Genomic DNA, 12,017 nt, shown 5'->3' on the forward strand with positions numbered 1-12,017 from the left:
CTTGACTTGGTGATCCACCCGCTTCAGCCTCCCAAAATGCAGGGATTACAGGCGTGACCCACTTTCAGCCTCCCAAAGTGCAGGGATTACAGGCGTGACCCACTGCACCCAGCCACTTTAATGATGTCTTGATATACCCCTTGTATGGTTGAGAGTTTCTTTCTTCTTACTTGTGTTAAAATTCTGGAGAGCCTGTGGCTTTGAGCAGAAAGTGAAGAATTTGACTTCCTCTGAGCTCTGCAGAAATAACACCACGCCCACAAAAACTCAAGGAAGATTGTCTTGGGCAACATTCTGGGCCCTTGGGCCCTGGCACATATTTCCCTTTTTCCCTATGTTGAGAGCTGAAGAGAAAAGAACCTAGTAGCGCCCAGCCAAGCCAGTTGTCATTGGGCTGCCTTTCACCCTAAACTGCCAGGAGGTTGTACTTACTGGGGGCTGGGAAGGAAATTTTGGTCAGGACAACCCAAACTTGAATCCTGTGATGTGGGGTGTCTGTAGGTCCCAAGGGAGATGGGCAGTGGGGGTCTAGCAGAAGGCTACAGGTTGGACGGTGACTGCAGAACTGAATCCCCAGTTCAGCTCCTTCTGCCTTTTCCAGTGCTAAAGCATGAGGACTTCCCCTCCCAGCCAACCTCCCCAACAACCCAAACAAGTGCAAAATGCCAGGCTCCCTCCTACCCCAGAGGAGACTGATGCTTAAGAGTTCTCTATAAAGGAGGTGACTGCCGTAGCCTAGGCTTCCTTCCTTCTACCTCCATGTCCTTCCTACTTCATTGAAAGAATTTATCCCCAAATCGCTTATGTGGGGCACAGGGAACTCTCCTATCAGCCAAGGGTCCTCCAGCCCCACCTACTGCTCACTACAGTTCCCAGGGTCTCCTGAGGCCTGTGTCCCTGTCATCCTCAGTCACTGGTCGTGTGGGACAAGGTGAGTAAACCTGACCTCCTCTGGGTCAGCCTTTCATTCAGCTGCCATGTGCTGAGGGCTTGCCATACCAACACAAGGCATCCTTTGTAAGGGTAACATTAGGAGCATAGGGAAGAGGTTGATGAGCTGGATCTTTTAAGACAAGGGAAAGTAGAGAAAATACACCAAGCAGAGGGAACCAAGTGTAAAGGTACAGTGCTAAAAGAACACCTGAGGCTGGGCACAGTGGCTTACGCCTGTAATCCCAGCACTTTGGGAGGCCGAGGCGGGTAGATCACCTGAGGTCGGGAGTTTGAGACCAGCCTGACCAACATGGAGAAACCCCGTATCTACTAAAAATATGAAATAAGCTGGGCGTGGTGGCACATGCCTGTAATCCCAGCTACTCGGGAGGCTGAGACAGAAGAATCACTTGAACCCGGGAGGCGGAGGTTGCAGTGAGCCGAGATGGCGCCATTGCACTCCAGCCTGGGCAACAAGAGTGAAACTCCATCTCGAAAAAAAAAAGGTGGTCCTGCTGCTATGAATAGATAGCTCCATGGACCCAGCAGGGGTTAGGGTAGAGGCTCCCACTTATGCCTCGGTGGGCTCTCCCACCTGCGTCACACCCTGGCTAGTGACCCAGTCAGACGTGCTGGGGACCCTGGCTGACCACCTGTACCAGGGGCAAGGAAGGAAGGAGAGGGGAGCATTGTGAAGCAGGGCAGGATGACTCTTGAAGGTGGAGACAGGCCCTGGACAGCTCTGGGACCCTTAATGGTGGCAGCAGCCCCCAGTCATAGGCCTCATTGTGTGGGCAGCCTGGGACAGCTAAGATCCCCATGAGGTCTCTTTAAAGGATTCACTAAATGCTCCATTTAGTCTTGGTTTGTTTTTTTGTTTTGTTTTGTTTTTTGAGATGGAGTCTCGCTCTGTTGCCTGGCTGGAATGCAGTGGTGCAATCTTGGCTCACTGAAAACTCCAACTCCCTGGTTCAAGCAATTCTGCCTCAGCCTCCTGAGTAGCTGGGATTACAGGCATGCGCCACCACACCCAGCTAATTTTTGTATTTTTAGTAGAGACGAGGTTTCACCATGTTGGCTAGGATGGTATCGATCTCCTGACCTCGTGATCCATCTGCTTCGGCCTCCCAAAGTGCCGGGATTACAGGCGTGAGCCACCACGCCTGGCGATTTTGTTTCTTACCCTTTAGTGTAAGGTGATTATCAGCTGAAGATTTAAACACATCCATGAGGAGATGGGGGAAGGGGTTCCTTCAGAAAGTCCTAAAGCTTTCCTCTGGAATTTTTTTTTTTTTTTTGGAACAGAGTTTCACTCTTATTCCCCAGGCTGGAGTGCAATGGCACGATCTGGGCTCACCACAACCTCCACCTCCCAGGTTCAAGGGATTCTTCTGCCTCAGCCTCCCGAGTAGCTGGGATTACAGGCATGCACCACCACGCCCGGCTAATTTTGTATTTTTAGTAGTGATAGGGTTTCTCCATGTTGGTCAGGCTCGTCTCGAACTCCTGACCTCAGGTGATCTGCTCGCCTCGGCCTCCCAAAGTGCTGGGATTACAGGCATGAGCCACCGCACCCAGCATCCCCTTTGGATTTTAATTCAAAGCACATACTCTCAGGAGTTTAATTTCAAGAGGAAAGCCAGTTCAGACAACAGAGAAGAGAAAGGAGGTGGGGGAAAGGTAGACGGGAAAGATAAAAGAAGAAAGGCCCCTAATGTTTTCCTCAGCACTGCCAAGGCAGGACCTCACCCTCAGCCTCTGACCCCTTTGTGATAAGCAGGAGTCCTGGGGCCTGGCCAGATAATTCACCCATGGGGGATGTGGGCAGATGGCAGCTCTCCAGAAGCACCAGTTAAGATAGCTTGAACCACAGACCTGACTACCTGCCCTAACCCCTCCCAGCTCCCACCTCTACTGCTGCCCCTCCAGTTCCTCCACTGAAGCTTCGTAAGGCTCCCCAAACAGAGGTTTGGCCTCCCAGAAAGCAGGATGTACCAGGAATATCCTCATCCCTATCCTTTGGAGCTCACAGAGGCCCAAAGAAGTCTGACTCTCAGGTCTTCCTCCCCAGTTAAAGGCATTACCAGACACCATTCTGTGAACCCTCTCTCCCACAAGAAAGGCCTTCTTCTAAGCCCCACCCAGGCTCTACAGAGGGTGCAGGTTGCAGGTGCCCTCCAGGCAGAGTGCACTATGTGTGCTGCCTGAGAGAATATAGCATGTTCCGGCAGAGCTTCCACCTGGGCCTACCCCAGAACCCACCTTGAGGTAGCCAGCAAGGAGAAGGCAGTTCAACCTAAGCATGGGGAGAACAGAGTCAGAAGAGTCTGAGAGGCAGGGAAGAGCCAGTGCTTCCAGGAGATGAGAAGAGACCTAAAGTCTAGAACAGAAAGGCTTGCAGGCACTGAAATCCCAAAAGCACCCAACTCATCACCCCAAGAAAACAAGCTGCTCCAGGATTCTGGCAGGGATGAGGATTGGCAGTGTGGACACAGCTGGGTTGGCAGTGTATCCTGACCACCAGCTTCCTGCCAAGTGTGTGTTTGTGCCAGTCAGCCTGTGGCAGACACAGCAGCAGGTGGCCCCAGCACATGCGCAGTGGCCATGGGGAGTGAGATCCCTAGGTCTGACTCTTTGGGGGACATTAGCCCTGCCATGGGTGAGTGGGGAGGAAGTCAATAGACTAAGATTATTGGGGGAACATAGGGGCACCCGATCCCATGCAGCCCATAAAACTAGAGGGGTACAGGACGTGAGTATTATGAAGTTTTTCCTAGTGGAGATATGGGAGGGAGCAGGGAGACAGACTGGAAGTGGCCTAGGTAGGAAGTCTGACCTAGGTGTGATTCTTGAGTTGAAGACAGGGAGAAAGTGAGTTGTTATTTCCTAGCCATTACTAACCAGTAGTGGCCAGACACAGTGGCTCACACCTGTAATCCTACCACTTTGGGAGGCTAAGGTGGGAGGATCACTTGAGCCCAGGAGTTTGAGACCAACCTGGTCAACATGGTGAAACCCCATCTCTATAAAAAATACAAAAAAAAAAAAAAAGGTCAGTTGCTGTGGCTCACACCTATAATCCCAGCACTTTGGGAGGCCAAGGCAGGAGGATCACCTGCAGTCAGGAGTTCAAGACCAGCCTGGTCAACATGGTGAAACTTCATCTCTATTTAAAAAATAGAAAAATTAGCCGGGAGCAGTGGAGGGCGCCTATAATCCCAGCTATTGGGGAGGCTGAGGAACAGGAGAACTGCTTGAACCCGGGAGGTGGAGGTTGCAGTGAGCGAAGATTGCACCACTGCACTCCAGCAGGGCAACAGAGCGAGACTCCATCTCAAAAAAAAGAGATTTTGGCCAGGCGCGGTGGCTCACGCCTGTAATTCCAGCATTTTGGGAGGCCAAGGCGAGTGGATCACTTGCGGCCAGGAATTCGAGACCAGCCTGGCCAACATGGTGAAACCCTGTTTCTACTAAAAATACAAAAATTAGCGGGGCATGGGGGCAGGGGGCCTGTAATCCCAGCTACTCGGGAGGCTGAGGCAGGAGAATTGCTTGAACCCAGGAGGCAGAGGTTGCAGTGAGCCGAGATCACACCATTGCACTCCAGCCTGGGCAACAAGGGCAAAACTACATCTCAAAACAGATATATATATAGATATATAGATAGATATAGATATATAGATATATAGATAGATATATAGATATATATAGAAGCTGGGTGTGGTGGCATGTGCCTGTAGTCCCAGCTACTTGAGAGGCTGAAGTGGGAGGGTCACTGGAGCCCAAGAGGTCAAGGCTACAAGGCTACATTGAGCTGTGATCACACCACTGCAGTCCGACCTGGGTGACAGAGTGAGACTCTGTCTCAAACAACAACAACAACAACAACAACAAGCTGGGCGCGGTGGCTCATTCTTGTAATCCCAGCACTTTGGGAGGCCGAGGCAGGTGGATCACTTGAGGCCAGGAGTTTGAGACCAGCGTGGCCAACATGGTGAAACCCTGTCTCTACTAAAAATACAAAAATTAGCCGGGCATGGGGGCAGGGGGCCTGTAATCCCAGCTACTCAGTAGGCTGAGGCAGGAGAATCTCTTGAAACAGGGAGGCAGAGGTTGCAGTGATTTGAGATTGCACCACTGCACTCCAGCCTGGGCGACAGAGCAAGACTCCGTCTCAAAAAAAAAAAAAAAAAAAAAGAAACAAAAACACCCCAAAACAAACTAACCAGTAGAAAGCGAGATGTTTAGAGAGATGGTGGAAAGCTGTATAATACATCAAACTCAACCTGAGCTCCATTTTCTCTGCCCACCCAGGGCTTGCAGAGGTTGCAGGCATCGTGATGGATGCCAGGCAGTAAATACCTATGCATCTGCTGCCTAAGTTTTGTAATGGCTGGCAGCCAGATTAACTGCACCAGATCATCATCCACACCTCCTGCTGAATGGAGATGCAGCTGCACCAGGCACCACAGCTGCTGAACCCAGGTGCTATACACCATACCCAAGCTCAGCTGGGTCCCCAGCCCTAGCTGACCAGGCTGTGTGGCTGCAGGTCAGGGTGCCCCACCAAGCATCAGTCTGCTCAACTGTAAGCATCAGGTGAGAGTTTAGACATAAAAATGCTTGTAAAATATAAGTCCACTATCAGCTGGGCATGGTGGCTCATGCCCATAATCCCAGCATTTTGGGAGGCCAAGGCAGATGGATCACTTGAGGTCAGGAGTTCAAAACCAGCCTAGCCAACATGGTGAAACCCCATCTCTACTAAAAATACAAAAATTAGCCAGGTGTGGTGGCGTGCGCCTGCAGTCCCAGCTACCTGGGAGGCTGAGGCAGGAGAATCACTTGAACCTGGGAGGCAAGAGGTTGCAGTGAGCTGAGATCATGCAACTACACGCTGCACTCCAGCCTGGGTAACAGAGAGAAATTCTGTCTCAAAAAAAAATTATATATATATATAATTTTTTACATACATAATTATATATATATAATTTTATATATATAATACATAGACATATATATATATACACACACACACATATATGTATATAAGTCCCATATAAATAGCTGTAAATCCCCTATGCTGGACAATTGTGGGGAAGATAGAAACCCAACAGGCTCTCTGAGGCAGTCTGCAGAAAGTGGGCTTTGCTTGTGGAGAACCATAGGAGGCTGCTGGAATACAGGAGGATCATGGTCTCTGAATTTTCCTGCACAACGTCTCACTAAATCTGCCCCTCCCTGTCCTCTCCTCCTCCCTTTCTCCTCATATCTCGGTAGGTACCCTCTGCCCTTTTATTGCTCATACTTTTCCTTTATGATACAATTCCTCCTAAGAAAACCAAATACTTGGAACAGAAATGGGGAGGTTGGAAAACAAGACTCATTAGAGAAGCCTTCTGGGTGGTGATCAGGCCTTGGAGGTGGGAACACCATTTCCCTGTGACTTGTGCCCAAGTGAATAAAATCGTACTTTAGATCTAGAGCTTCCTGTAGAGCAGACAAGTGAATTTTCCAGCTGTTGCACAACCAGGAAGAACCTTGTAGCTCTAAATTAATCTTTTTTGCCAGCTCTGTGAAAATGATTCTGAATCCTTTAAATATTTTTCCTTTGACAGCTGGCACAATGTTTGTCAATAGAGGACACTGGAGGAACATTTCAGGAGGAACCATTACTTCCTTGTTCTGGTGGGTCCCGGAACATGACTTCAGGACTCATCTCCGGCAGTGCATGGCAGCCAGTAGTACCCAGTGGGCAGCAGCTTCAGGCTGTTTCATAAGGGAATGCCTCCTGTGAGCCACCTCCCATACACAGCTTTCCCAGGCACTCTAGAGTGTAGAATTCTAGAGGTAAGTTCTGGAAGGCAGATTTCTGGCACATTCCACCAACATGCCATCAGAGCAACTTCTGAGTCATTCAGTGAGCCACAGCCATGCCCTTTTCTTTTTTTCTTTTTTTTGAGATGGGGTCTCACTCTGTTACCTAGACTGGAGTGCCATGGCTTGATCTCGGCTCACTGCAACCTCCACCTCCCAGGTTCAAGAGATTCTCCTGCCTCAGCCTCCCAAGTAGCTGGGCTTACAGGTGCTCACCACCACACTTGGCTAATTTTTGTATTTTTAGTAGAGACAGGGTTTCACCAAGTTGGCCAGGCTGGTCTCGAACTCCTCACCTCAAGTGATACACCCACTTTAGCCTCCTAAAGTGCTGGGATTACAGGCATGAGCCACCACACCCGGCCTTTTTGTGTGTGTGTGAAGCAGAGTCTCGCTCTGTCACTCAGGCTGAAGTGCAGTGGTGCCATCTTGGCTCAGTGCAACTTCCACCTCCTGGGTTCAAGCGATTCTCCTGCCTTAGCCTCCTGAGTAGCTGGGATTACAGGCATGTGCCACCACACCCGTATTTTTAGTAGAGACAGGGTTTTGCCATGTTGGCCAGGCTGGTCTCGAACTCCTGACCTCAAGTGATCCACCTGCCTCAGCCTCCCAAAGTGCTGGGATTACAAGCATGAGCCACTGCACCCGGCCAAGCCATGCCCTTTTCAACAATGTCTGGATCTCAGACCTGGTGGCTAGAGCTCTTCCCTGTGTGCTCTAACTCTAGGAGTAACAGCCGCTCCTAACATCTGCTCTTCCTATGTGCTTTAGAGTTCTCTCTGCTTATTAGCCAATTCCTCATTACTCCAATCCCCCATCACCAAATAGAGTTGATAACTCTTTACAGTAAACTATCCCTGTTGATATTGTGTCATTTGTCTCTCTTCATTGGACCCTGACATACAAACAGCATGGTGGTTGTATGTGCAGTAGTTGGATGGGAAGGGGCATTCTTAGGACCTGCATCTTCAGTCTCTCTGGAAAAGCCAAGGCCTGGAGGAGGGCCACAGCTATACGATACAGGTGAAGGCAGGCAGGAAGGGGCTTTTGTGCTGAATACCTTGGGCCTAAAGTGTGATAAATGTTTAGAGAATGAAAAATTACACTAGCACTGGCCTTCAACCTCTTATCAAATTTCAGGGATTCTTCAAGACCCTTGTCCAGTTTTCCTCACAAGTGTCCCAGGAACAAAGGACAGAGTCTAAAATTCCTTTCAGCACTACTTTTCTCTAAGCAGGGGTATTATGAAATCTGACTGGTATTTCAGAATGCAGACTGACCTGGAATATAGAGACTACAGGCAAGATCAGTCAGGAGGCCTTTGCAATAGACCCCATGAGAAATAAAGTTCAAGAAAAAGGAAAGCATAAAAACAAAACACATGCTTTTCCTCAGAGAACCAGCCTTTGAAGTCAGATTACTAGATAACCATACTAAAAAATTATTTGTTGTTGCTGGGCACGGTGGCATACGCCTGTAATCCCATCACTTTGGGAGGCCAAGGCGGGTGGATCACCTGAGGTCAGGAGTTTGAGACCAGCCTGGCCAACATGGTAAAACTCCGTCTCTACTAAAAATACAAAAATTAGCCAGGCGTGGTGGCAGGCACCTGTAAGCCCAGCTACTCAGGAGGCTGAGGCAGGAGAATTGCTTGAACTCGGGAGGCAGAGGTTGCAGTGAGCCGAGATCGCGCGACTGCACTCCAGCCTGGGAAACAAGAGTGAAACTCCATCTAAAAAAAAAAAAAAAAGAGCCAGGCATGGGGGCGGGCGCATGTAATCCCAACTACTCGGGAAGTTGAGGCTGGAGAATTGCTTGAACCCGGAGGTGGAGGTTGCAGTGAGCTGAGATCATACCCCTGCACTTCAGCCCAGGCAACAAAGCAAGACTCTATCTCAAAAAAAAAAAAAAAAAAAAACTGTTGTTTATCTGAAATTCAAATTTACCTGGTGTCCCAAGTGTTTTGTTTATTCTGTTTGCTAAATCCGGCAATAGGGAGTATTTAATCTAAAGAATTGAAGAGGCACCTGAAAGGACAGTGGCCTAACACACAAGGGCTTCTTGTGCAAACAGTGGGCCATCAACCTCCAAGGCCCTCTCCCAGCCCAGGTCAACACCTGTTCTCTCTTTGCAGTACAAGCCTCAGAGATTTCAACACTTTTCCATTCCTCTTCAACACTGTCACTACTTTCTCCCCTGGGCTTCCTTTTCCCAAGGCCTGACTGTGAAGCAGGTTGCAGTTGCCTTGCCACTTACTCCCAAAATAAGCTCCTAGCCTCTCGCAAGAGCTTTACCTCTAATCACCAGAGAGGAAGATACAGGGATACAAACGTAATCAACGACAAAAAGTGTATAAGGTGGTTTTTGGTGTGTGTGTGTGTGAGACAGAGTCTTGCTCTTTCACCCAGGCTGGAGTGCAGTGGCATGATCACAGCTCACTGCAACCTCTACCTCCCAGGCTCAAGTGATCCTCCCACCTCAGCCTCTCGAGTAGCAGGAACTACAGGTGTGTGCCACCATGCCCAGTTATTTTTTTTATTAATTTTTTTGTAGAGATGGGAGTCTCCCTATGTTGCACAGGCCGGTCTTGAACTCCTGGCTTCAAGCAATCCTCCCGCCTCAGCCTCCCAAAGTGGTGGGATTACAGGCATGAGCCACCCCACCCAGTGTAAGTGTATAAGGTTTTAAAAGTTATCACAGTTGGGGCTGGGCTTGGTGGCTCACGCCTGTAATCCCAGCACTTTGGGAGGCCGAGGTGGGAGGACTGCTTGATGCAGGAGTTCAAGACCAGCCTGGGCAACATAGGGAGGCCTCGTCTCTACAAAAAATAATAATAAAAAAAAAGTTATCACAGTTGGGGTCTTAGGTTTAGAGCTGCTGACCACCAAATCTCACAGTGATTCAAATGCCTTATCTTCCTTTATTACTGAAGATGAAGCTCAAAGCTGAACGTTCTGGTGCCCATTTATCACTATGGATGCCTTTGCCTGTCCTCCAGGAGCATTTCTGCTCATACATCCTTCCCCATGGCCTAGGGAATTGGGAGCCACGGGAACACATTAGAGCCTAGGAGACAGATGTAAATTATCTGGAAAGCCATGAAAAACCAAACCGAACTAAACTAAGGAAGGAATCATTGTCTTCATAATTCTCAGGGAAAAAGAAAACCATGGAAGGGTGTCTTGAGGCCAGGAGTTCGAGAACAGCCTGGGCAACATAGGGAGACCCTGCCTGTACCAAAAAAATTTAAAAAATTAGCCAGGCATGGGGGCAGGTGACTGTAGTCCCAGTTACTTAGGAGGCTGAGGCAGGAGGATGGCTCGAGCCCAGAAGTTTGAGGTTACAGTGAGCTATGATAACATCACTGCACTCCAGCCTCAGCAACAGAGTGAGACCTTGTCTCTAAAAATGAAAGGAAAAATAAGTGAACTAAGGAAACTTTAAAATTTATTTTTATGGCCGGGCGCGGTGGCTCATGCCTGTAATCCTAGCACTTTGGAAGGCCGAGGCGGGTGGATCACGAGGTCAGGAGATCGAGACCATCCCGGCTAACGTGGTGAAACCCCATCTCTACTAAAAATACAAAAAATTAGCCGGGCGTGGTGGTGGGCGCCTGTAGTCCCAGCTACTCGGGAGGCTGAAGCAGGAGAATGGCATGAACCCGGGAGGCGGAGCTTGCAGTGAGCGAGATTGCACCACTGCACTCCAGCCTGGGTGACAGAGCAAGACTCGGTCTCAAAAAAAAATTTTTTTTAATTTTTATTTTTTGAGACAGGGTCTCACCCTGTCACCCAGGCTGAAGTGCATGCAGTGCCACGATCTTGGCTCACTGTAGCCTCAACTTCCTAGGCTCAAGGTCCTCCTACTTCAGCCTCCCAAGTAGCGGGGACCACAGCTGTGAGCCACCATGCCTGGCTAATTTTTTTTTTTTTTTTTTTTTTTGAGATGGAGTCTCGCTCTGTCGCCCAGGCTGGAGTGCAGTGGCGCGATCAGGGCTCACTGCAAGCTCTGCCTCCCGGGTTCACGCCATTCTCCTGCCTCAGCCTCCCGAGTAGCTGGGACTACAGGAGTCCGCCACTGCGCCCGGCTAATTGTTTGTATTTTTAGTAGAGATGGGGTTTCACCGTGGTCTCGATGTCCTGACCTCGTGATCCACCCGCCTCGGCCTCCCAAAGTGCTGGGATTACAGGCGTGAGCCACTGCGCCTGGCCGCCTGGCTAATTTTTTATTTCCTGTAGAGACAGAGTCTCACTAGGTTTGTTGCCCAGACTGATCTCGAACTCCTGGGCTCAGGTGATCCTCCCGCCTCAGCCTCCCAAAGTGCTGGGATTACAGGAGTGAGCCACCATGCCCTGCCTGCATGTTTATATTATTCAGCCTTAAAAAGGAATGAAATTCGGATACATGCAGTTTTTTACATATTTAATGCCATTAAAAATATACTCTTTAGAAATAGACCAGGCGTGGTGGCTCACGTCTGTAATCCCAGCACTTTAGGAGGCTGAGTTGGGAGGATCACCTGAGCCCAGGAGTTCGAGACCAGTCTGGGCAACAAACATAGTGAGACCTCTTCTCTACAGAAAATGAAAAATTAGTCAGGCATGGTGGCTAACACCTGTGGTCCCTGCTACTTGGGAGACTGAAGCAGGAGGACCTCTTGACCCCAGGAGGTGAAGGCTACAGTGAGCCAAGACGGTGGCACTGCACTCCAGCCTAGGCGACAGAGAGAGACCTTGTCTTAAAAACAACCAACCACAATAAACTCTTTAGAAATAGAAAACGATACTATGAATATAATGTGGCTTTCTCATAAAGTGTTTTTGTTTTTGGTTTGTTTTTGTTTGGTTTGGGTTGCTTTTTTTTTTTTTTTTTTTTTTTTTGAGGCGGAGTCTCTCTGTTGCCCAGACTGGAGTGCAGTGGCGCGATCTCGGCTCACTGCAATCTCCGCCTCCCGGGTTCAAGCGGTTCTCCTGCCTCAGTCTCCCAAGTAGCTGGGTGCCCGCCACCATGCCCGGCTATCTCATAAAGTTAACATGGGAAGGCTATGGACAACTGCAGGTATTCGCGTTTATTTTCACCTTTAAAGAAAACGAAAAGTATCCACTCCAAAAACTGGTTCCTTTCTACAACCTGAACTTTGGAGATTTTCAAGACCAGCCACAAGGCCTCTACTCCTACGGCCTGGCCCTCCTCCCCGCCCGGTTCGC

At 49.3% G+C, this 12,017-nt stretch overlaps 1 annotated feature.

Annotated features, from left to right (window-relative positions):
* Nucleotides 11,885-11,964: an enhancer, noted in NCBI's record as "active region_1751". NCBI's record gives its function as "activates an Ori minimal core promoter by ATAC-STARR-seq in GM12878 lymphoblastoid cells {active_cell/tissue: GM12878}" and the evidence as "EXISTENCE:reporter gene assay evidence [ECO:0000049][PMID:35858748]".

Source organism: Homo sapiens, chromosome 1 (genome assembly GCF_000001405.40).
Source record: "Homo sapiens chromosome 1, GRCh38.p14 Primary Assembly".
NCBI lineage: Eukaryota > Metazoa > Chordata > Mammalia > Primates > Hominidae > Homo > Homo sapiens.